The 25,561-nt window shown below is 49.5% G+C and overlaps 1 protein-coding gene and 1 long non-coding RNA gene across 17 annotated transcripts in view, besides 1 other annotated feature; both read left to right on the top strand.

Annotated features, from left to right (window-relative positions):
- The window catches only part of TRAPPC9 (trafficking protein particle complex subunit 9), a 730,855-nt gene that overhangs the window by 355,713 nt on the left and 349,581 nt on the right, over positions 1–25,561 (top strand). Inside the window, exon 18 of one of the 16 annotated variants that reach the window (XM_047422298.1) lies at positions 20,824–20,884. The exons of the other annotated variants lie outside the window; for them this stretch is intronic. Coding sequence (XP_047278254.1) covers positions 20,824–20,868 — 45 coding nt within the window. The 3' untranslated portion in view covers positions 20,869–20,884. Of the gene's footprint in view, positions 1–20,823; positions 20,885–25,561 lie in introns of those variants that run through there. 16 annotated transcript variants of the gene reach the window in all.
- On the top strand, positions 2,332–7,973 carry PEG13 (paternally expressed 13). The gene has a single exon (NR_144431.1). It is a non-coding gene; the product is annotated as a paternally expressed 13 (long non-coding RNA).
- Positions 2,576–3,075: an enhancer, noted in NCBI's record as "H3K4me1 hESC enhancer chr8:141109891-141110390 (GRCh37/hg19 assembly coordinates)". NCBI's record gives its function as "activates a minimal SCP1, AML or CMV promoter by ChIP-STARR-seq in primed H9 embryonic stem cells {active_cell/tissue: H9 hESC(primed)}" and the evidence as "EXISTENCE:reporter gene assay evidence [ECO:0000049][PMID:30033119]".

The raw sequence follows: 25,561 nt of genomic DNA, 5'->3' as shown, positions 1-25,561 counted from the left end.
CTCAGTGGGGGTGAACAGAGTGAGAGGCAGGACTTGAAAGTATTTGCCCAGAATCATACAGCAAGATAGCATCATGTGCAAGAGGCAGCCATGTGTACTCCGAGTCCACACTGCCATTCTTGTTGGCCTTTGCAGGCCGGCCTCCTGAAAAACTTGTCTCTGCTCACTTCTTCAGTCTCTTCTCCTTCTGTCTTCCCTTCAACCTACTCTAATCAGAAGATAGAGACAGAAGTAAGCAGTGAACTAGGCAGGACCAAACCAAACCAAGAGTTGTGTGTTGACCAGCCAATGAGGAAGTTATGTGTGGGAGAGAACATGGTAAACTATGTCTTCTTCTCCCCCATGTCTATGTCTGTGTGTGTGCGTGCATGCGTGTGTGTGTGTGTGTGTGTGGTGGGGGGAGGCTGGTATTTTATTTATTGGACAAATATTTATTGTCTAGCACTATGTGCCAAATACCAACTTAAGACATCTATAAGAATTTCAATTTCTCTGAGACCCAGGCTAAGATTTTCCATTAAATTCACATGAGTCTATTACATCTCTTTCTTTCATTTCCACCTGGGTAGTCAGGAAAACACATTAGACATATTTTTAAAAATTAAAGTTAACACAGAGTGTTACAAACTTTGAGAGAAGCAATAATTTTGAGTTGCACTAGTAATCACAGCAACAACCCCAAATACCACATTTATTGTCTCTTACAAAGCATCATAAGTTACATTAATCACTGGTTTTAACTACATTCTGTTACAGTTTGGACTCTAGTAACTAGGCAAATACAAACCAACAAAACAGCATATAAAACCACATGGAACAAAAAGCACACTACTCTCCAATATGCATTTTCTGGAGCCAATCTGATATTTAACTGGGATAAGACATTCTAAATAGCAACTGAAATATTGATATACCAGAACATCATGAAATAAATATTTTTCCCAACTCTGAAGACATTCCTTTCCTCATGCAAAATTTACCAAAAAGAAAAAAAAAAAGGAAAAAACAAAAAATAAACAAAAAACCAGGCTGGGCATGGTGGCTCACACCTGTAATCCCAGCTTGGGAGGCCGAGGTGGGTGGATCACCCGAGGTCAGGAGTTTGAGACCAGCCTGGCCAACATGGTGAAACCTTATTTCTACTAAAAATACAAAAATTTGCTGGATGTGGTGGTGCATGCCTGTAATCCCAGCTACTTGGGTGGCTGAGGCAGGAGAATCGCTTGAACCCAGGAGGCGGAGGTTGCACTGAGCCGAGATTGCACCATTGCACTCCAGCCTGGGTGACAAGACCAAAACTACGTCTCAAAAAAAAAAAAAAAAAACAAAAAAAAGAAAACCCTACAAAACCAACCCAAGTTCATAGTAACCAGAATTTTCAAATATTTCTCTGTGATCAGCACCTAAAAATGTATTTTAAAATGCTTATTTTAATGGCCAGGCACAGTGGCTCAGGCCTGTAATTCTAGCTGGGAGGCAGAGGCGGGTGGATCACCTGAGGTCAAGAGTTCAAGACCAGCCTGGCCAACATAGTGAAATCCCATTTCTAGTAAAAATACAAAAATTAGGCATCGTAGTGTGGACCTGTAGTTTCAGCTACTTGGGAGGCTGAGGCAGGAGAATCGCTTGAATCTGGGAGGCAGAGGCTGGAGTTAGCCAAGATGGCACCATTGCACTCCAGCCTGGGTGACAGAGCGAGACTCCGTCTCAAAGAAAAAGATATGCTCATTTTGATTTGGAATAAAGCTGCCTGGCCAAAAGATGGCTTGTGGCTAGAAGAGGAAGGACAAATAAGAAAACATAAATGGTTCAAATAGCACTCTATGTACAAAAACATGAAAAGGTGAAAATTTCTTAATTTCAACTTTTTGTTAGAAATTAGTACGTCACATATAGTCCTCCAGGGAGCGCTCTGAGGCTGTTACTAGTCCTTTAGTTAATAAAGCGAGAAGGCCCTGTAACTTAGCCTATAGGATTTTAGCGCTGACGCCTCCGAACCCACCCAGGCTTTCGCCTCGGAAAGGCACGGAAGAGGCCCCATGTTAATACCCGCAGTCTAGGACACGGAGTCATCCTCAGGGCCCTGTCACCCGTGAGTGAGATTACAGTCACAAACACAGGCTTCACAGCTCGCAGACGCACGGCCACCCTCATCTCCAGCGCCCTTCCCTTCCAGAGCGCGTGAGCCTGAATGCAGAGTCCGCTTCGGATCCGGTGCGAGCACAGCCCTGCCAACAAGGAGGCCCCAATGGTGCCCAGGAAGGGAGGGGCTGAGGGCGGGGCCGAACGTACGACCAGGGGTGTTTACGCTGCAGTCTGCGCCAGAGCCGCAGCGGTACATGGAAGACCTGGGCGGGCAGGCGTCCTTACTACGCGGATCATGTTGCGGCTGAAGTCGCGAACCGAGACGTAGCTGGGTGTCCCGACCCTGCATACAGCAGTAGAAGACCTGGGTGACCGTCAGTACCCTGTGAATTGAGGCACTCCTGAAGCCATGCGCTGAGACCTGGCTGGGTGTCGCTACCCTGCTGACGGCTGCGGAGGACCTTGGTGGGCATCAGTACCCTGCGGATTGTAGGGATGCTGAAGCTGCGCACTGAGACCTAGCTGCGTATCTCCCCTGCGGAAGGCTGCGGAGGACTTGGGTGGGCGTCAATACCCTGAGGATTGTGGCACTCTTTCCGCAGTTCCCTGCTCTAGGCTGCGGAGGACCCGGGTGGGCGTCAATACCCTGAAGATTGCGGCACTCCTTCCGCAGTCCCTTGCTCTTGGCTGCGGAGGACCCGGGTGGGCGTCAATACCCTGAAGATTGCGGCACTCGTTCCGCAGTCCCTTGCTCTAGGCTGCGGAGGACCCGGGTGGGCGTCAATACTCTGCGGATCGCGGGGATGCTGAAGCTGCGCGCTGAGACCTAGCTGGGTATCTCCCCTGCGGAAGGCTGCGGAGGACCTGGGTGAGCGTCAGTACCCTGAGGATTGTGGCACTCCTGCAGCTGCGCAGAGACCTAGCTGGGTGTCCTCCCCTGGAGAAGGCTGCGGAGGACCAGCGTGGGCATCAGTACCCTGCGCGTCACGGGGATGCTGAAGCCGCGCACTGAGACCTAGCTGGGTGTTCCTACCCTGTGGAAGGCTGCAGAGACCCGGGCGGGTGTCAGTACCCTGTGGATTGCGGCACTCCTGCAGCTGTGCAGAGACCTAGCTGGGTGTCTCCCTTGCAGAAGGCTGTGGGGGACCCGGGCGGGGGTCAGTACCCTGTAGACTGCGGCACTCCTGCAGCTGCGCACTGAGACCTAGCTGAGTGTCTTCCCTGCGGACGGCTGCGGAGGATCTGGGCGAACGTCATTACTTTGTGGATCCCGGGATACTGAAGCAGCTGAGACCTAGCTGTGCGTCGTCCCCTGTGGAAGGCTGTGGAGAACCCGGGTGGGCTTCAGTACCCTGAGGATTGCGGCACTCCTGCAGCTGCTCGCTGAGACCTGTCTCCCCTGCGGAAGGCTGCGGAGAACTCTGGAGGGCGTCAGTAGCCTGCGGATTGCGGCACTACTGCAGTTGCGCAGAGACCTCGCTGGGTGTCTCCCTTGCAGAACGCTGCGGAAGATTCAGGAGAGCGTCAGTACCCTGCGGACTGCGGCACTCCTGCAGCTGCGCAGAGACCTAGCTGGGTGTCTCCCCTGCGGAAGGCTGCGCAGGATCACGGAGGGCGTCAGTACCCTGCGGACTGCGGCACTCCTGCAGCTGCGCACTGAGACCTAGCTGAGTGTCTTACCCTGCGGTGGCGACGGAGAACCCCGGTGGGCGTGTTTACCCTGTGAATGGCCTAGCGCTGCTAAAGCCCCGCACTGAGACGTAGCTGGGTGTCCTCCCCTGTGCACGGCTGTGGAGGATCTGGGCGGACGTTGTTACTTTGTGGATCGCGGGAATGCTGTAGCTGCGCACTGAGACCTACCTGGGTGTCCTCCCCTGTGCACGGCTGCGGAGGATCTGGGCGGGCGTCATTACTTTGTGGATCGCGGGATTGCTGCAGCTGCGCACTTACATCTAGCTGGTGTCTTCCCCTGCGGACAGCTGCGGAGGACCTGGGTGGGCGTCATTACTTTGTGCATAGCAGGAATGCCGCAGCTGCGCACTGAGACCTAGCTGGTGTCGTCCTCTGCGGACGGCTGCAGAGGATGAGAGGAGGGAGGAGGCGTCGTTACTTTGTGCATCGCGGGGATGCTGAAGCCATGCACTGAGACCTAACTGGGTGTCCCCACCCAGTGGACGGCTGCGGAGAACCCGGGCGGGCGTCATTATACTGCGGGGGCGGGCGTCATTATACTGTGGAAGGTGGTGCTGCGGGAACTGTACAGAGACCTAGCCGGGTGTTCCTGCCCTGCGGATGGCAGCGGAGAACCCTGGGGGGCGTTTTTAGCCTGCGGATCGCCTGGTGCTGCTGAAGCCGCGCTTGAAGACCTAGCTGAGTGTCCTCCCCTGCGGAAGCCTGCGGAGGACCTGGGCGGACTCTTTACCCTGTGGATTGCGCCGCTGCTGAAGCCGCGCACGGAGACCTAGCTGGGTGTCTTCCCCTGTGGTAGGCTGCGGAGGATCTGGGTGGCTCTGGAGATCGCAGGAATGCTGAAGCCTCGCGCTGAGATCTAGGCTGAGTGTTCTCCGCTGTGGATGGCTGCGGATGACCCGGGCGAGCTCTTTACCCCGCTGATCTCAGCGCTGCTGAATCCCCTGCACTGAGACCTAGCTGAGCGTTCCCTACCCTGCAGATAGCTGTGGAGGACCCCGGCAGGCGTCCTTACCCTGCGGATTGCCTGGTGCTGCTGAAGCCGGCACTGAGAGCTACCTGGGTGACACTACCCTGCGGTTGGCTGCGGAGGACCTGGTGAGCGTCTTTACTGTGCGGACTGCGGCAAGGGTGCGACTGCGTATGTTGGTGGGCATCCTTATCCTTCAGACGGCGGCAATTCTGCAGCTGCTCATTGAGGACATGAGCTGGCATCTTTCCCGGTAGGACTGCGGCACGTCTGTAGCCACGCACTAAGGACCTGGGTAGGCGTCATGACCCTGGGAGCAGCGGCACAGCTGCGACTGCGTATGGAGGACCCAGGCAGGCTCCTCACTCTGCCGACTGCAGCGCGCCTGTGGTTGTGCACCAAGGACCCACCCAGACAGGCGTTCTTACCCTGTGGACAGCGGCACAGCTGGGGCTGTGCACCCCAAGATCCAGCTGGGCATTCTTATCCTGCCGACTGTGGCACGTCTGTGGCCAGGAGTTTTTATGGTGTGGACAGCAGCACAGCTGCGGCTGCACACTACGGACCCAGACGGGCGTTCTTGCCTTGTAGACTGTGGCAGGGCGGTGGCGGGGCACCCACGATGCAGGCGAGTGTATTACCCTGCGACTGGCAACACAGGCTGCGCAGCCAGGACTCAGGCGGGAGTCCTTACTCTGGGGGAGTCCTTACCCTACGGACTGTGGCACAACTGTGGCTGGCACAAGAACCCAGGTGGGCGTCCTTACCCTGCAGACAGTGGCAGGGCTGCGCATGGCGGACTCGGGTGAGCCGTCTCATCCTGTGGACCGTGTTACTGTTGCGGCTGTGCACTCAGGACCTGGTGGGGATGGGGTGTGTGTGTTCCTCTTCTGCTGACTGTGACTCCGTGCCAGCTGCACGGAGGACCAGGGCAGGTGTCTTTGCTTTGTCAACGACAGCACTGCTGCAGCAGTGCACGAGAACCAGACCTGGAGCCGGGTAGAGGAGGTCCCTCCCCTTCTGACTGCAACACAGCTCCACCTGCAACCTGAGACCTGGGTGAGCATCTTTGCCCTGCCCCGTGCCATTGTTCTGGCTATACACCAGCGACCTGGACAGGTTTTCACATCTCTATGCTGGATGGGCTGGCCCAGCCGGTTGTGCACTGTGAGGTGCTGCAGGAGGAGCTGCGAGGACACATTCTTCTTGACTTCTCAGCATAGGAATGTCTCACGTCCAGTCCACGTCCCTGTCCTAGTCCTCCTCTCTGCTCCTTCCACACTTCCTCACGGTGGTCTCCTGCACGCTCGTGGCTGTCAGTATCAGACGAGGGCAGCTTCTGCATTTTCTCAATTCCAACCACTCCTCTCCACTTACCTACCCAGTATCTCTACTGGGTGTCTTCCAGTCATCCTGCACTCAACGCGACTGACAATTTACTTCCAACCGGCTTTACAATTTCCCTGACTTTGTTGATGGCAACTTTTTCCTTCCAGTTGCTTAAGCCAGATACGTTGGAGTCATTCTTTACCATTCTGTTCAACTTCATACCTATTCCTCAAGAATTCTGGTTTCTCTATCTCTAAAATGTATTTGGAAGCAGCTACTTCTTACCTTCTTTTCACGGATTCAGGTCACCATTCACACTCACTTGGATTATTGCAATAATTTCCTAACTGGGTTCCATGTTTCCAGCTTTTCTGTCTGCAGTCTGTTTTGTTTTCAACATGTGGCCAGAGGGATCCTGTTAACATCTAAGTGAAATATATCATTTCTCTGCAGTGGCTCCCTAGCTGCTCAGAGTAAAATCTAATGTTTTTACAATGGCCTGAAAGGCTCTCCATAACCTTATCCCCTCCCACTTACCTCCCTGTCTCCTCTCCTCCCTCCGACACTCAGCCCCTGTGTATTTTAGCTATTGAAAGAATATGTGGGCACACTGCTAATTTATTGTCTTTGTGGAGGCTTGGTTTGTGCATTCCTTATTTCAAACACTTATGGGTGGACTCTGGTAATGAGCAGTCATATTTATGAGTCCCCCTCCAAGTGAGGAGATGTACTAGGTGGAATGTGCGCCCTCCCTCACGTGGTATACTCTTGATACAGAGCCAAGCAGGTAGTACCGTTGGTCCTGCTTTGTAGGTGAGGGAAAGCAGACCCAAAATGAAGGAAGTTGTCCAGGGTTACATGCTGGGAAGTGGTGGAGGTAGAATTCAAACCCGGAGCGCAGGCGTTGTCTGCACCTCGGAGAGGCACCGCTCTTCCTGAAATGCTCCTCCCTGGTTATCTATGAGGCTGAAGTCCTCACCTCTTTCAGGTCTTTGCTGAATTAGAACCTTCTCCATAAGGCAAGGCTGATGCTGAGCACCCCACTGAAAATTTTCCTCTCTCCCAAGACCCTCTTCTCAGTCCCTCTACTTGGCTCATTTCAGGTGTCTAGCACGTCACGCCCTTTAATACATTTTGCAAGTATTTCTCCACGAGTGTGAGAAAGTGGTTTTCTTTGGTGGGGGTTGATTTTTCATGGCACATAAAGGGCAGCAGGGTTTCTTTGGGTCCTGTCTGGAGGCCTGAAGGTCACGCTGGGCTTCTGGGGAGCGGGTCCCCTTCCTGCAGCCTCCCTCTCCACTTGCGTGTTTCTCACTCCTCTCTCTCCCTGGGAAGTGTTGCTTGATAAAGATGCAGCTTTTAATTAATGTAACTGTTCAAGATTACAGCCGGTCATCAGCTTTCTAACCAGTGCCTCACAGCTCTGCTGGAAGAGCCTTGCTCCGGTGATGGTTGATTTGCCATTCTCTGTCCCAGCCCAGAGAAGCTCCCCTCACTGTCAACGTGCCATCTGTCAGGTGCATGTTATAAAGCTGTCATCATGATCAGCTCATTCACGCACCAGCTTTAGCTTTGAGGAACTGCCGGCCATGGCGTTGAAGACCTGCTGAAGCCTCCAGCCAGACATCTGATGTTCAGGTCTCAGGGGGTCCTTGCTGCTTGTGTAGCCTGACAGGTGTGGCCACGGCAGGCACACCATGGTTTGGAGTTTGGAAAGAAGAGACCCTGTGTTATTGTAGAGTGACCACTGGATTGGGCTTCTGGAAATCCAATTCTAATCAGACTTGGGTTATGCATTTACTATTTCAATAAAACATTTATGGATGGACTCTGGTAATCAACAGCCATATTTTTGAGTACCCACTGCAGGTGAGGAAATAAATGTACTAGGTGCGATATACATCCTCATGTGCTGTGCTCTTGATACAAAGCCAGTCGGGTAGGACTATTGGTCCTGTTTTGTAGATGAGGGAACTTAGACCCAGAAAATGAAGGAAGCTGCCCAGAGTTACATGCTGGGAAATGGTGGAGCTGGGATTCGGACCCAGAGTGCAGGCTTGCCTCTGTTGCGGCATAGATGTCTTGCTTGCCAGGGCACCGTGCCCAGTGCTAGGTCAGATATGAATGCTTACAGGACGAGGCCCTCTTCTTGAGGACTTCCCTCTCCTTCCCTCCCCTCTACTCTGCTGCCTCTCCGAGTAGCTGTCAGGTCACTGGTAGGTACCAGTTGTGTTGGGTTACATGGTGGATACACGATGGAGTGCTGTGGCTAACAGGGTGGCCAAAGGCAAGACGTTTCCCCTTTCTGACCTTTCCTTTGGCAGCCTCTGGGTGGTGGTGGGCAGGAGGTGTGAGGGAGACATTGAGTTTGAGGTATGGAATGACCGTGCGTGGCTCTCGGAGCCAGCCCGATCTGCGCCTGCCTACGCTGCCACACCCACAGGCTGTCTACATGTTACTGGAAACCCAAGCATGAGTTTCTTCTGCAAAATGGAAGATGACCACCCTTTTGTACTCCTGGGATGAGGCATACTGTGGGTGCACCTCCCTGCAGGCAGCTGTTTCTCAGTGAGCGGTGCCTGTTGCTATTTGGAAGTGACCACCATGTCTCCTCCAGCCAAAGAATTTGGCAATTCTAAGTTCAGAGTGGTGGGTGTTGGTGAGAGAGTCAGTCCACAGGGTGAGGTGCGATGAGTGGGCAGAATGTGCCTGGTAGTCAGAGTGGAGATGGTCTAGGTGTGCTCTCATGACCTCCTCAGCTCTTCAAGGGAAGGGAAGCCACCTGGGGAGGGTCAGTATGGAACCCTTCCTGGACTGGCTGGTATGTCCTGGAGGGAACTTCGTTAGACTTCATAATCGATGCAGTGTGGACTCCATGGGGAGTTTTGGAAAGAAAGCAACAGTCATGAGGATGACTAAGGGTGAAAGAAATTAGGTGTGTGGCCATGGTTGGGATTCTAAGTCTAGCCCTGCCAGTCATTGTCAGGTGACCTCAAGCAGGCACCTTTGTCTCTGGAGGGCTCAGCTTTCATCTCTGCCCAATGAGGGGTCAGGTTTGGCCTCTAAATTCTATCCAGCTTTAAACACTTTAGTTTACTGTCTGAAGTCTTTTTTTTTTTTTTTTTTAAGACGAAGTCGTGCTCTCTCGCCCAGGCTGGAGTGCAGTGGCACGATCTTGGCTCACTGCACCCTCCGCCTCTTGAGTTCAAGCAATTCTACTGCCTCAGCCTCCTGAGTAGCTGGGATTACAGGCACACGCCATCATGCCTGGCTAATTTTTTATATTTTTGGTAGAGATGGGGTTCACCATGTTGGCCAGGCTGGTCTTGAACTCTTGACTTCAAGTGATCTGCCTGCCTTGGCCTCCCAGAATGGTGGGATTACAGGTGTGAGCCACCGCAACTGGCCTGAAGCCTTGTTTCTAATAGTTGTTGGACTTTAAGAGCTTGTTCTTCAGGTCACCATCTGCTGGGAATCATCCACTATTCCCAAGACTAGGCAAGGAACACCAGTAGAACTCCAGCCTCACAGGGACCCCGTAGCAACTTCCTGCACAGGATGCACCTCCAGGGAATGCAGAGAACATGAATCTCTGTCAAGAAGTATTGGTAGCTACTAGAACAAAAGCCACAGGGAAAGGTCCTTATCCCAGATTTTGGAGGTCTTCCAATGGCAAGGATTTTTGAGTGTTTGGGGATGGTTTATGTGTAGGCTGACAAGAGGAAGATGAGCAGGGGGACATTCTGGAAAGCTTTTTTTTTTTTTCATTCAGATACTTGCATTAGGCCATGTGCTAAGTACTTTATATATGCTGCCTAATTTGATTTCATAATAATCTTGAAGTAAATGGATTATCCCCCTTTAACAAATTAGGAAAATAAAGCCTAGAGGGTGTAAGCCCTCATAACTCCTAAGTGACTGAGCCTAGAATCAAGTTCTTTCTGAATCTGAGTTCCATTCTCTTAACCCTTATGCTGTATGTTTAAAACAAATACAAAAATATGGAAAATACAGAAATGTCTTAAAAAGTCACCATCATTTCCAGCACCCAGAGATGATCACGTAGTGAGATGTTTTCTCTCCATCATCCATTTGTCACCAGAGGTAGGCAGTAGTAACTTTTGGTCTTATTGGGGTGGGATATGGGGAAAGAGAAGTGCTTGAGGGGCCAGTCAGTCTGTGGTTTGATTCCTGGACTCATTAGCTGTGTGCCCTTGGATAAGTTACTCAGTCTCTCTGATTCCTTTTCTCACTTGGAAAACAAAATGATATATATTTTAGATGCTCTATGCACTGTGGCCGCGCGTGGTGGCTCATGCCTGTAGTCCCAGCACTTTGGGAGGCTGAGGCAGGTGAATCTCTTAAGGTCAGGAGTTCAAGACCAGCCTGGCCAACATGGTGAAAACCATCTCTACTAAAACTACAAAAATTAGCCTCGCGTGGCATCGGGCGCCTGTAATCTCAGCTATTTGGGAGGCTGAGGCAGGAGAATTGCTTGAACATGGGAGGTGGAGGTTGCAGTGAGCCGAGATTGCGCCCTTGTAGTCTAGCCTGGGTAACAGCAAAACTCCGTCTCAAAAAAAAAAAAAAAGAAAAATTAAAGTAAAAAAAAATGTTGAAGAATAGATTAAATAATGTCTTTTATTAGTAGAGTACATAACTAATGGTGGCTTCCATCAATATTTTGGTAAAAAAGGTTTGTTTTTTTTTTTTTTTTGGAGTGCTTGGAAATTGGCTAAGTGGAGCTGGCCGGCAGGAGGAGGGAGGAGTTTCTAGACTGAGGAGACAGCAGAGGTCTGGGCTGGGGGTGGTCAGCGTTCTGCGGCTGAATCGAAGGGTCGCTGTGGGGCCGGCGGGAGATGGGTCTGCAGAGGTGGAATGGGCGCCACTGTAGAAGGTCTTGAAAGCACGCTGGGGTTGGCCTCTGTCCCCAGGCAGTAGGGAGTCACCGACAGTTGAGAGGAGACTGCTGGGTAGAGCAGTCCTGGGTTGAGGACAGTTTTTAATTCTCTGTTATTTTTGTAACTTCATCGCAGCAGGCGGGACAGCAGATCAGAACCCTTTGAAGCCAACTTCAGAGGCCCCTCTTGCCCCTGCCGCAGCTGACTTCCTGCTGTCTTTCATCTCTGCTGTTATCTAGATCACTGCAGTTAATTATTTCTCCAAATATTAGCTCCATCCTTGACTTTATAATGAGGTTTTCCCTCATCTTCCAAAGAGAACCCCTGGTTTCCACAGGAAATACCCTTGGTAGTAACATTGCGGTGCCTAGGAAGTAGAGACATTTTCAAAGTGTCCTTCCTTGAAGCAAGCTCAGCTGGAAACTTGGGAGGAGTTCTTGGGACTCTGAAAGCCCTGGCTGCCCTTTCCCAGAGCATGAAACGGAGACCCCTCCTATTAACTCAGCCTCGCCCATCCATCTTCCTGCCAGTCTTTCTTGCACATTTATTCAGCATTTAGTGTGAGCCAGGTCTGGTATTAGGCCCTAGGGTTATGAAGCCTGCTGAGGCCATCATGGTATGTTGGACCCTTGACAGGAAGGCAGATATCTCAGGGGGTGCAGGATGAGGGGGCAGGAGACGGAGAGCCTGCAGCGACATGCATGGGGCCAGGCTGCCACCTCCGAGTCGTGGGGCTTCAGATGAGCTATTGCGTCTCACTGTGCCTCTGCTTTCATTAAGAAGGGATGTGATCTCTTACCCAGGGTTTTGCCTTTTATGACTTGTTCTTATATAATTATGGTTTGTTGTCTCTCTCTCTGCAGTCTTCTGTCAGTCCTTGAGGCTGATCCTCAGCCTTTTGGACTGCGACTTTTAATTTTTGTAGCACTGGGAGCGCTCGAGTCTCTGGGAGCAGGGTCACACCAGTCCGGCTTCTGGAGCTAAGACGTATCACCCAGAAGCCAGCCCATTAATATGGCCTAGAAATGGTCTGTCCATCACGTCAGCCTGTTGGCCTCCGCTGTCAATGAACAGCTGCATGGGAAGCCAGGCTGCAAGGCAAGGCTGCTCTATGAGCTCAAGATCGGAGCCAGGCATTAATGAGATGCCCAGCTCTTTACCCTCCTTATCCTGGGATGGGCTCATGTACTTTGTTCTGAAAGCAGGGATGGGTACACTTGGTGGGGGATGGCGATTTTCAGGGTTAGCCATGAAGTGTGCTAAGGGCCTGGCCCGGACCTCTACGCAGCTGGCGTGGCCAGGAAATCTGGAATTATGGATTAGCTCCAACCCCCTGGTCTCCCGGGTGACCTGGAAATGAGTCACCTGGTTCTTGGTAATACGCCAGTGGAGCTAAGATAATAGGTTATTTTTTAAGAGTATAAGCTGTTTAATGTCAGGTGAAGAAATGAAACTTGCCTTCCACTTAGGGTTCACTCTGAACCTGGGGCATCGTAAGAGCTGAGTTCTCTCAGCCCTCGGTCTGAGCAGGTGTGGCGTGCGGTAGGAGGGCTTCTGTGGGAGCTGCTCATGGGGCGGGAGGCAGTGTCTGGTGCCAGGTGAACAGTGTGTTTCCGTGTGTATATATTGGTGTGAATATTTCCATATTATGGGCAGAACCTGAATTCATACAGACACACTCAAATGACTTCAAACCGGGTCAACCTACATATGTTATAATAGCCAGAGGAGACCAACATAGTCACAGTTGTATTTGAATTTGCATAGACATTGCCTGCCCTTATTTTTGTTGTTGTTGTGTTGTTGTTGTTTTTGAGACAGAGTCTCGCTCTGTCGCCAGGCTGGAGTGCGGTGGTGTGAACTCGGCTCACTGCATCCTCCACCTCCCGTGTTCAAGTGATTTTCCTGCCTCAGCCTCCCGAGCAGCTGGGACTACAGGCGTGCACCGCCACACCCAGCTACTTTTTTTATATTTTTAGTAGAGACAGGGTTTTACCGTGTTGGCCAGGATGGTCTTGATCTCCTCACCTCGTGATATGCCCGCCTCGGCCTCCCAAAGTGTTGGGATTACAGGTGTGAGCCACCACACCTAGCTGCCTGCCCTTATGTTTTTAAGCAAACACTCAGAAGGTCTACCAGCCTACTCATCTATCAAGTGCGGGACCTCTCCTGTGTGCCAGACCCTCTGCTTGGCTCTGGGAATCTGTGATAAAGAAGGCGAGGTTCTCATCTTTATGGAGCTCAGTGTCTCTTGGGGAGACAGGCAGGAAGGCAGCTTAGGCAGCTCCATGGCCCTCTGCCTGCTATTCCAAAATCCGAAAAGCTCCCCAAAGAAAGGCTTTTCTTTTCATGAAGATGGTATCCAAGCCCATTAGTGGTGAAACCTGGCATAAATTTGTATGGGGCCATTTAAAGTCTTCCCTTATTTCACGTAGTAGGACTATTTATTGATTTGACTGCAGACTTAATGCATCTGGTTACAGGGGGCTGCCTGGTCCATGGTGTATATACCCTATGGTCTTTCTAAAACCCGAGCAAGTCTTAGTTCTGAAAAACACCTGGCCTCAAGGGCTTCAGATGAGTGTATTTCTGACCTCTGAAAGATAGAGACATTCGTGCGGATAGAAGAGGATGAGGTGCTGCCTCTGGGGAACACTCGGGGGGGAAGAGGCTTTTGAAGCGGGCTGCCCAGTGGGAGAGAAGAAAAAGGCCATCAGTGCATTGAGGGGCTTCGAGGAGAAACTTGTACAGCCCACAGTGGGAGCTTGGTTTGCTAAATCATGAGGTGGAGCTATTGTTTTTATTTCTGTGTTTGTTGTTTAAGTGCAGTTTGCTTAAATATGATTTTCATTTTTATAAATACAAGCACAGCAGAAGGGTCTAGAGAAAAAGGCTTCCCAAACCTTACTACCCAGAAATCGACGTTATTAATGTTAGAGAAACCTTCAAACAGACCCGTCCTCTGCATTTACGTGTGCTGAGAAAGACTGGCAGGAAGGAGAAGTTATTTCCCCTAAAAGTGGATCGTACTCTACTTGCTCTTTTAAATAAAACTATTAATTTAATTTTACGTTAGCATATCAGAGAAAAAAATAAGTCGAAGTGAAGTTTATGGAATTGCTGAGCTTCTGATATGTTTATTCATGACGAGAGATATGATTCCCTATCAGGTCTCTTTAAGATGAAGAAAAAAGATTGTGAAAAACCTGAGGAAGTAGCGTAGTTGTATTGTTCAACTGTATATGTCACATTTTCAAATTACTGATGAGTTTCTTGTTAGGAAAAATAAGGGAATTTATGCACTTAGACTTTTTACCATCTCCCACCCCACCTTCAAGTACTGGCCATTTCTTCTTTGTTAAGGGTTATAGCATTTATATTCAGCTCTCAAGTCATAATTTCAAAAGGTCCCAGTCCTCGTTGTGTGTTTAAGCGGAGATGAGGCTTGCCACTTCTGTGCTACAACTTTTCCATTCCCAAGTTTGTTCTTGTTTATCTCTAGGTTGGTGGACTCTTATCACTAAGATGGTTTTGAGGATGGATACCTCTTAGGTGATAGATTTTCACATTTCTTGCATAACTATCAGTTAACAAATACTGAGCACCTACTATCTGTCAAATGGGTTTTGGGACACTGGAAATACAATTGTGAACAAGACATTTAAAGTCCTGCCATCACGGAGCTTATATTCTAATGAGGAGAGGGTAAAGTATGAATGTGAACAAATAAATCAAATAGCTTCTGAGAGTGCCAGTTCCAGGAAGAAATATGAGTATATGGTCCAGAAGGACTAGGGAGGCTTGTATAGCCAGAGTGACCAAGGAGCATCTCTTGAGGAGGTAGCATTTGTCCTGAGGTCTGAACCATGAGAAAGAGATAGCCATCTAAAGAGCTAGGGGCTCTGGTAAGCCACATCTTCCAAGCAGAAATCACAGCTGGTGCAGAGGCCCAGAGATGGTACCACGTGGTAATGGAGGAGCTGGGAGCTGAAGCCTGCTCTCCAGGACCTTGTCAGTGATGGTGGGTTTTTCTGGGGCTGGCGGCGACAAGCTGCAGGAGAGAGCCAGGGAATGGTGCGGTTGCTCGTCATGCATGAGAATGGTCACTGTGACTGCTGGTTGGAGATGGATTGCAGGGTGGAGAGGGAAACGTGGACGAGTAGAGGCAGGGGAGACGAGGTGGGGAGCCAGTGGCATTGTCCAGACAAGCGATGACAGTGGCTTGGATGAGGGCGGCAGCAGAGGAGGTTGGCGACAGTGGTCAGACCTTAGATGCACTGAAGAATAAGCAAGGGTGTCTTTTAAGGTTTTGGCCTGAGCAGCTGGACGGTGGTTGTTTTATTTACTGAGATGGAGGAAGCTCGGTGGGGATTAGAATGTGGGGAAAACACAACCATATTCTTCAGGCGAGTCATGTGTGAGCACCGTTCGGCTCTTCAGCGGGGCTGTGCGGGAGCCTGTTGGTGTTCCATCTGTGCTCCAGGGAGAGGTCTGGGCTGGAGGGAGAAGTGTGAGAGTCAGCAGCTTAGAGGCAGCGTTTAAAATCCTGGGCCTGGATGACATTCCTGAGGGGGTTGCAGAGATAGAGTGCTGTGCTTTCGAGGCACCCCGACATCTGCAGGGTGATGGGGCCGGGGGGAGGGCACGGGAGACAGAGGAGGAAGAGCCAGGGACTGGGAAGAAAAGCAGGCAGCTCAAAAGCTGGAAACATGGGGCGTGGCTTAGGAGCAAATGACAGCTGCTGAGAACGTCAGGAAGACAAGGCCAGGATGTTGACCACTGGCTTTGAGATTGGAAAGAGTCATTTCAGAGGAGTAGGAGGATGGCAGGCTGACGGTGGCAAGAAGTAGAGCCAGCCCGAGCAGGCAGTGCTTGCAGGAGCTCTGCTGTAGAGAACAGGGAAACAGGATGGTGGCTGGAGGGAGGTGTGGGATGAAGAGAGGGATTTTTTTTTTCTTTTTTTGAGACAGTCTCACTCTGTTGCCCAGGCTAGAGTACAGTGGCGTGATCTTGGCTCACTGCAACTGCTGCCACCTGGGTTCAAGCAATTCTCCTTCAGCCTCCCGAGTAGTTGGGATTACAGGCGCCTGCCACTGCACCCGGCTAATTTTTGTATTTTTAAAAAAGTAGAGATGGGGTTTCTCCATCTTGGTCAGGCTGGTCTTGAACTCCTGACCTTGTGATCCACCCAGGATCCCAAGCCTCGGCCGCCCAAAGTGCTGGGATTACAGGCATGAGCCACCACGCCTGGCCGAGAGAGGGATGTTTTGAAGGTGGTGTTGGCAGTGTGTGATTGTGTGCACTGACAAGGATTGAACAGTGGAAGAGACGGGTGGAGCAGGACGGGATGGGGTGCCTGGGACCAATCCCCCAGAGGCAGCAGGAGCTGGGCACCAGGGCACAGGTGGAGCTGTGGCCCCTGAGAGCCATGGGGAGGCTGCTGCCCTCATCACAGAGGAAAGGGGCTATGTGGGGCTGCAGTGCAAAATTGTTGGTGGAGAGACGTGTCATTTCAACCGACTGCCTCACCTGCTCCCCTTCCATTTCTACCCCGCTTCTTCTGTCTCTTCTTGCCTCTCCCTGCTCCTTTCATCGTCTTCCCCTGTCCTTCTTCCTCTCCCACCATCTCCTCTCTCCCCTCCTTCTTCATCCTCCATACTCTGGGATCCTCTTGTACTTTCTTTGTGGTAGCACATTTCAAAACCTGTGTCTTTCACCCACACCATACCCGCTCTCCAGCACACGATCCAAGCCCTGGTTAGGCTTTGTTTCTGGTTTAGTCTTCAGGAGGATGGGAAGGATCTGGTAACCTGCTAGGTTGCCTTCTGCTTCAGGTGGGGAAAGTCATAGTTAGAAAATGGAGAAGTCTTCTTAGAGTTGTGTGTGCAAGTCTGAACGGCTTCATTTTTATTTCCTTCTGCCAGCCTACCCTTAGAAAAAACCACAGTGATTCCTAAGGGGGTGTGGGGTGGGGGGAAGCTATAGGCTTAGGGGAGAGTTCTGCCAGCACTTTGAAGAAGAAATGTTTATTTTTAACAATGAATCAGAGAAATGAGAGGCAATGCGTTGACAGAGATAGGCTGTGGCTCCCCATGTGGAACGCGCCAGATCGGGACACGATTACCCACAGCAGAGGCTGTCATCTGCTTTTGTAGGGGCAGGGTGGCGTGGACCTCAGCAGGCTGCTGCCGTCCATGACTTGCCCCTTTCTTCTCTAAGTGAGTAGGCAGAGCAGAAGGGGGATGCTCACTCTGAAATAGCAGAATTGGTCACCTGGTGGGATTGAAAGTCCTGGGCTCCCTCCAGCACGTCGGCTTCAGTGAACCCAGTCCTCAGAGCTTAGGCCGGGCTGCCTGACGGGGCTTCCCTGGCATTTCCATTCGAGAGAGGTTTTGGTGGTTCTCATTTCACAACAGAAAGAGCTTCTGCATGGAAAAGAAAGGATGGTTTATATTTAAAGAGAGAGATTTTATCAGGATGGTAAAGATACAAGAGGTTGAAATTTCTGTTTTTCAGTCTAGACCAGTGGTTTCCAAGCCTTTTTTTTTTTTTTTAAACAGTAAGATTCTTTCTGCAAACATACTTATGCAGCAGGAACCCAAAGTGTAAAATAAGGGCAAGTGGTGTAGTCCTGCTGGACGTGGGCGTGTGGGCTCGTGGAGCCTTCATCACATAGTCCACGTCACTCCTGTAACTACAGCAGGAGAGACTGTGGAGCGTCGGGGAACTCTCTTTTTCAAAGAGTCATGGGGCATGAGGTTTGCAAAAGGTGTTTGCAGTGAAACATGGAGCTCTGCAGAGTGTGCTCTCCCTGCACCCCCATCTCCACTCTCCATGAATCTGTACCTGGATTGGCTATAGATCACACAGATGTAAAGCTTTCAGAGTCGAGCGTTGCGAGCATAGGCCTCGGAGTCCAGCCTAACGCTCATCCCAGGCCTCTCCTCTTGGGCAAGTTACCATACCCCACTGGATATCAGTTTCCTGTCTGTAACAGGAGCCTAATGATACACTTACTCCAAGGATAGAAGATACCAGGCAAGAGCTTAGCCCTGTGGCTGGCACTTACTCATGCTTGGTAAACGTCTCCAAGGGAGGAAAAAGCTTATCCTACCCTTTGAGGTTTCAGGCCCCAGAGCCAGGGCTTTCTGACAGATGCATCACCTGGCTGAGGGGCCAAGGACCATGCCAGATCTTTCAGGATGCTGCTCACCACTGGGAGCCTTGGACAGTCCTGGGCCTGCCTGTCAGTCAGCAGCCTTGTCCTCGGCGGTTCTTGGGCAGAAGAACTCAGAAGGCGACATTAGCACTGGGGAAGTGATACATTCTGATTTCCATGCTGGCCTTTTAGAAAGGTAGGCTTGGGTCAGATCATGAAGGCCCTTGAGTGTCATGTGGTGAGCCTGGATATCATCCTATAGGCTACTATTGAAGGCTTTTAACCAGAGAAGGGACACGCTCAGCCTGTTTACCATGGATGAGGCAATTATATGTGGATTAAAACAGCTGGGTTCCCATCTGAGGCAGAAAGGAAGTGAAAGTGAGGAGACTAATAATATTTTTATTACCCTATCTATTTAGGATTTTTAAGTGGACAGTTTTAGATTTATAGAGATTTATTTTCATTATAGCAGTATAACATGTTTACTATAGAAGATGCTAAAATTGTAAGAATGTTGGAGGAAAAAAATTAACCATGGTTCCACTGCCCAGCCTCAATCATTGTATGTTGTTATTCCCTTTTCTATGCATAATTATAATAATAATAGCTACCATTTTCTGAGTGCCTACTCCATGATACATACTATTCTAAGCTTTTTATTAAAACAGTCACTTGGATGATGGTGCCTGTGAACAGCCACTGCACTCTAGTCCGAGCAACACAGCAAGATCCTGAATCTTAAACAAACAAACAAAAACCCAAGCCTGGGCCAGGTGCGGCGCTCATGCCTGTAATCCCAGCACTTTGGGAGGCTGAGACGGGCGGATCACGAGGTCAGGAGTTCAAAAGCAGCCTGGTCAACATGGTGAAACCCCATCTCTACTAAAAATACAAAAATTAGCTGGATGTGGTGGCCCGTGCCTGTAATCCTAGCTACTTGGGAGGCTGAGGTGGGAGAATCACTTGAACCTAGGAGGCAAACGTTGCAGTGTGCTGAGATCACGCCACTGCACTCCAGCCTGGGTGACAGAGCGAGACTCCATCTCAAAAAACAAAAACAAAAACAAAAACAAAATAACAAAAAAACACCAAACCCTTCTGTGGGTATTCTTTTCTCCAGTTTACACAAATAGAAATGGAAGGGCAGCGAGGTTAGGTGGTTTGGCCAAGACCTCCCAGCTTGTGAACGGTGGTGCTGAGATTTCCGTCCTCACCTTTCTCTCTGTGGTTCTCGCTCTTCCCTGGGTACTGCGTTGCGTGTGCGTTTCTGCGCTCTACCTTATTCACTCAGCGCTAATACAGAAGCATTTTCCCATTCCACTCAATGTTCGTCAGTGTAATTGTAAAGACTGTCAGCGATGTTATCAGAATATTCTGAATATTTTTCCCAATGTTAGACCTTGAGATACTGCCCCATTTATTTGTAATTTTATTAAACACTGTTTGATATCTCCGTGGAAAGGTTTTCCTGGTCATATTATTAGGATAGATTCTCTGAAGCAGAATTACTGAGTCCAAAGATGTGAATTTTTTTTTTTGAGATGGAGTCTCATTCTGTCACCCAGGCTGGAGTGCAGTGGCACGATCTCAGCTCACTGCAACCTCCGCCTTCCAGGTTCAAGCGATTCTCCTGCTTCAGCCTCCCGAGCAGCTGGGACTACAGGCACATGCCACCATGCCCAGCTGATTTTTTTATTTTTAGTAGAGAGGGGGTTTTACCATGTTGGCCAGGATGGTTTCGATCTCTTGACCTTGTGATCCACCTGCCTCGGCCACCCAAAGTGCTGGGATTACAGGCGTGAGCCACCGCGCCTGGCCAATGTGAACATTTTTAAGTCCTTTGTTACCTGCTGTCAAATTGCTTCCCAGAAAAGCAGTCCCAAGTCAACGTGACCAGCTGAGTTTGAGGATGCCCCTTGTCTGAAATACATAGAATTGTGACCTCCAGCCACACAATCTTGAACTAAATCAGACCATTTTGATGTATTTTGTTTAACAATAGGAGAAAAGAACGTGTTTAACAATCTTTTGCAAAAGCTGTATTTCTAGCAGAAAAATTAATGTGAACATCAGGCTGGAAAAATATGAAGTTAATAACAGTTTGTCAAAGGCTAGGCTATTCAAAGCAGTATTTTCAAATTCAGTCATTTATATTCCTTTACTCCTTTACCCCTTTTCTTTTGTGTATCTGTCACCACCTAATGTTAATTAGGTTGTTAAAATGCATTAACATATCAAGACATGGTGGCACTTTCGCCTCTCACCTGTCTTTATTATTTGGGAAATGCAGATGCCCTTTCTGCTGATGCTTCTGGGGCATTATTTCTCACTGGGGCAAGCTGGGATGGAGTTATATTTGTGTCGAGGAAAAAAAATGATTCCACACTTTATTCAGCACATTTTTCATCCTTAGAAAACACATTGCTGTCTAATGTTATATTTCAGGTTCTTCCTTCCTTTAAATTCTTAGGGAAAAAAAAAAATCACTGCTGGGCCCAGGTCAGAAAAACATGTAGCTTTTATGTGGCTGTTGGGTCTGATAACAGAAACATGTGGCTTTCATATGGGCTGGAGAGAAACTCACATTTCAGATAAGGAAGAAATGGGTCAAAACATTTTAAAGCTGCTGCTTTCCCTGACAACATCCTTTGCTTGTTAAGCACGCTTCAATTTGATTTGGTTCCCAGGCTTGCTTTGAAGACATGCTGTGTGCTAGAGAAGGCTGGGCCTGAGGAGTTGGAGGTGAGTAAGAGTGTGCGTGGTCCCCTGGGAGAGGCAGAGATGGTACCAACATCTAGAAACTGCAGTGAGTGCTAGTTAAGTCATATTCACGGAGTTCCTCCTGTAGGCCGGGCCTCGGGCGCAATGCTGAGGACAGAGATATGGACTGAGGGGCACATGGACTGGTGGGTGGAAGGCAGCCTTGTCTTGAGAGAATAGCAGATTGAAACATTTGGGTGACCATCTTTTTCTGGTCCCCGCCCCAAAAGAACGTGCGACTTGACATGGTTTTCCCTCATTTGTAAGTGTTTTTATGCGAAATGCCTTACACAGGAATCAAATGTGCATTTCTAAATGTACTGATTGGCCGGGCGCAGTGCTCACGCCTGTCATCCCAGCACTTTGGGAGGCTGAGGTGGGCGGATCACCTGAGGTCAGGAGTTTGAGACCACCCTGGTCAATATGGTGAAACCCCATCTCTACTAAAAATACAGAAATTAGCTGGGTGTGGTGGTGGGTACCTGTAATTCCAGCTACTTAGGAGGCTGAGGTACGAGAATTGCTTGAACCTGGGAGGCGGAGGTCGTAGTGAGCTGAGACTGTGCCACTGCACTCCAGCCTGGGCAACAGAGTGAGACTCTGTCTCAAAAAAAAAAAAAAAAAGCATTCATTTTATTCTTCACCTTGACTATGTGGAGCAAAATACTGAGAATAAAGAGAAGACATTGGAGCCATCTTCTGTGGAGAGACGCCAGAGCTGGGATTCCAGGCTGATGGGTGCTGAACAGCCTGAGATGTGGTAGTGGACTGTGAGGAGCAGAGGTCCAGGCAGAGTGTGCTGCTGAGGAAGGAGGGCAGGCTTCTCAGCTGCAGACGCACTGGGGATAGATGGCATAGGATGGTTAATCTTGGCCTTGCTTCTCTGAGAAAACTTTGGTCACACCTCCAGAGCCAGGGTGGGTGCCTCCCTGGAGGAGGGGGCTTTCCTGGTTGGTGGCACAGCAGGAGTCCAGGCTTTGTACCGTGGACACCATGGGCTATGGCAACACCTTCCTCACCATCCTTCCATGAGGACCTCGGGAGAGAGTGGACATGAAACCCTTTGTGCTCTGAAGCATTCAACAGAAGCTTTCTGGTTCTGTGCCTATTTCTTTGGCACTTGAGCGTGTTTGCAGGTTCATTACACACATGATGAAAGCTCTGGCCCATAGCACTAGAATTCATGTTTTTAGGGTTTGTGAGTGTGACAGGTGCTATGGTTTGGATGTGGTTTGTTTCCACCAAAACTCTTGCTTGAAGTTTAACTGCCAGCATGGCAGTGTTGGGAGGTGGGGCCTAGCGGGAGGTGATTGGGTCATGGGGGCTGAACCCTCCGGAATAGATTGGTGCTGTCTCCTGAGAGAGTTCTCGCTGTCATGGGGCTGGATCAGTCAACATGAGAGTGGGTTGTTATAAAGCAAGACTCACTCCTTATGCACGTCTCTTTGCATATGCCCTCTGGTGTTTCTTCTTGTCTGCTACATCTTGACGCAGCCCATGGCCCTCACCAGAAGCCGAACAGATGCCAGTGCCATGCTTGTGGACATTCCAGCTACCAGAATCATAGCAAAATAAACCTCTTTTCTTTACGCATTACCCACACTCAGGTATTCTGTTGCAGCAACACCAAATGGACTAAGACAAGAATGAGTGTGGCGTGGTGTTTTGTACTGTTAGCTGTTGTGCATCACAAGTGAAAGAAAGTTTACTCATGTGGTTCTCAATTTCCACAGTGCTGAGTGTTAAGTTACAGGGAGAACTATTACAGACCCACACATGATATGGAATGTTCATCACTGACCATGTATGTGCCTTCTATGACCTTGTATGTACTTGATTCCCCTGGATCATTCAACATCTCTTCTTGGGAATCTTGGCCTTTTGATGAAACAGGGTTAATTCCAAGGTGTCATTTCTTAAAGCAAACTTTGAGCTGAAATAACATCTGACCAGGGGAAAGTGATGCCATCGCCTTCTTCTTCCCCTCCTCCTCCTCCTCCTTCTTCTTCATTTTTATTATTATCATTATTATTATTATTTTGAGACAGAATTGTGCTCTCTCGCCCAGGCTGGAGTGCAGTGGTGCAATCTTGGCTCACTGCAACCTCCACTTCCCAGGTTCAAGCGATTCTCCTGGCTCAGCCTCCTGAGTAGCTGGGATTACAGGCATCTACCACCACGCTTGGCCAATTTTTGTATTTTTAGTAGAAATGGAGTTTTGCCACGTTGGGCAGGCTGGTCTCAAACTCCTGACCTCAAGCAATCCGCCCTCTTGGCCTCCCAAAGTGCTGGGATTGCAGGCATGAGCCACCATGCCTGGCCTGCCTTTTTATTATTATGCACAATTAGACGTTTTTGTTGCCAGTGTGCCACTGTAGTTATAAAGTGGGGAGAACAATAGTCCAGGTCCTTGGGTGTAGGGAGAGCACTTGTAATAAATATGAACAAACTTCACTGCCCTTCTGCAGGTGCCTCTTTTCTGCTGGAGCCGCTGCTTGTGGCCTCTCTGGTCCTGGAGGCACTTTCCAGGGGAGTGTTATCTTACTTCTCTGGGGCCTCATCAAGTTAAGGAACTTGCCAAATTCAAACACCTGTTAAAGGAGCAGAACCAAGAGTGAACTAAGTGTCACCCATTCAAAGTCTGAACTCTTCTCAGATTCTTTGTTGCTTCTGGCCATCTGTATTAGTCTGTTCTCACTCTGCTAATAAAGACATACCCGAGACTGAGTAATTTATAAAGGAAAGAGGTTTAATGGACTCACAGTTCCACATTGCTGGGGAGACTTCATAATCATGGCAGAAGGTGAATGAGGAACAAAGTCACGTCTTACATGGCAGCAGGCAAGAGAGCATGTGCAGGGGAACAGTCCTTTATAAAACCATCAGATCTCGTGAGACTTATTCACCATCACGAAAACAGCATTGGAAATACCCACCCCTATGATTCAGTTACCTCCCACTGGGTCCCTCCCATGACATAATTCCCATGGGAATTATGGGAGCTACAATTCAAGATAAGATTTGGGTGGGGACACAGCCAAACCATATCACTGGAAAGCTGTACAGTTGCTGGAGAGATGATAGGATCCATCCAGCTTTAGGAATGTCAGAGTTGAAAAGCCTTGAGCCATTGCTGGGTAGGCCCCCTGTTGACTGGTGGTGACTGGGGGCAGGGAGGGGAGGTGGCTGACCTGGTGTTAGAGTGCAGACCTCTGAGTTTGGGACTGTGGCTCCTGTGTACCTGCATGTGACATCCTCTCAGTTCCTGCATGGGCTCCTCAGAAGATGACACATTCTCAACCCTGAGCTGCCTCTTCTTAAAGTGGGTGCAGTTCCTCTATCAGACCCCTCTTTGTCCTTGTGATTCATGTTTTTGCCCATACTGCCTTCAGTTCCTAGAATAATTTCCTTTCCCCACCTAGGAAGCTCTTTTCCATCCATTCATCCCTGCCCCATCCCACCTCTGGCCTTCTGTCCCATATCTGGAAGCCCTCCCCCGTGTTCAGCCATGTACCTCACTAAGCCTCCATCCAGTGCAGTTGCCACTCCACCCTCCCTGCCTGAGGCCAAGATTTTGGTGGGATCAAAGAGTGCTGAAAAGCCTGGGCTTGAACTTGAGTCCAGCCACTCCTGCGTGACTTACCTTCTCTCAGCATAACAGCAGTGTCTTCCCATGGCACTGCTATAAAACCACAAGCACTTTTGCAGTTTTCTCCTTGCCTTTTGTTAAAATGAAATGTTCTCTGAAAAGTTCTTCCAAAATTCTATACAACTTTGTATTTTTGCAATTTGAACGCAGAGAAAAGCATGAAGAGATGGTTTGGAACAGGTTCTTTCTTGTCTGGAAGCTGATTCTGGGACAGTTTTTCTTTCTTTCACAGTAATTTCCAGTTAAATGGAGATGAACTGCATGCTTTGAAGACAGTTTGCCTTGCAGTGTTTCTACTAGTGTTACTGGTTTTTCACACTTTGTATCTAATTATTTTATCTCCATGACAAATGCAGGATAAAGTTCTCCATTTTCTGAGGAAAGTCATGTTTTTCCATAAGAAACATCACGATTGTCCATGCTGGACTTTTCTATCTGGGGCCACGCAGCCTTTTCCATCTCCTCTCCCAGGTTTCTCTTGTTCTGGCCCTGCGGTCCTGCAGCTTTCCTGCCTTTCCGTTTTCTACACAATCATTCTTCCGCCTGCATTGCTTTCTCCCCATCTCAACATTTCTGGTCCCATCCCTGGGGCCTGGCCCAGCTGCCGCCTTGTTCAGGAAGCGACTCCTGATGTCCACAGTGGGAAGGGTCCTCTCCCTGTTCTGTGTCCTTGCCTTGTCCATCACATCACATCGACCAGCCACTTGGCCTTGGAGTCCCCCCAGCAAGCATCTGCCCTGCTCAAATGCATGCAAGCAGAAGATAGCGGAAGGCACCTTCTCTGGGCTGCCTCAGCCCTGGGGCTCAGGCTGGGATCTCTGGGGTCAGCTCTTAGAGAGTAGGCATCTGGTCACACCTGCCTTGGTACCTAACTCTCTGAGATGACAGAAAAGAAAGCTAGAAAGTCATTAGATTATCTTTTTATTTTTTATTCTTTTCCACTAAGCTACATGTTCCCTAAGAGCAAGGATTATGTTCATTCACCCATTTATTCATTTACTCAACCATTATTTATT

This window comes from Homo sapiens, chromosome 8 (assembly GCF_000001405.40).
Source record: "Homo sapiens chromosome 8, GRCh38.p14 Primary Assembly".
In the NCBI taxonomy this organism is placed as follows: domain Eukaryota; kingdom Metazoa; phylum Chordata; class Mammalia; order Primates; family Hominidae; genus Homo; species Homo sapiens.
This window is presented reverse-complemented; position numbering and strand designations above follow the sequence as displayed.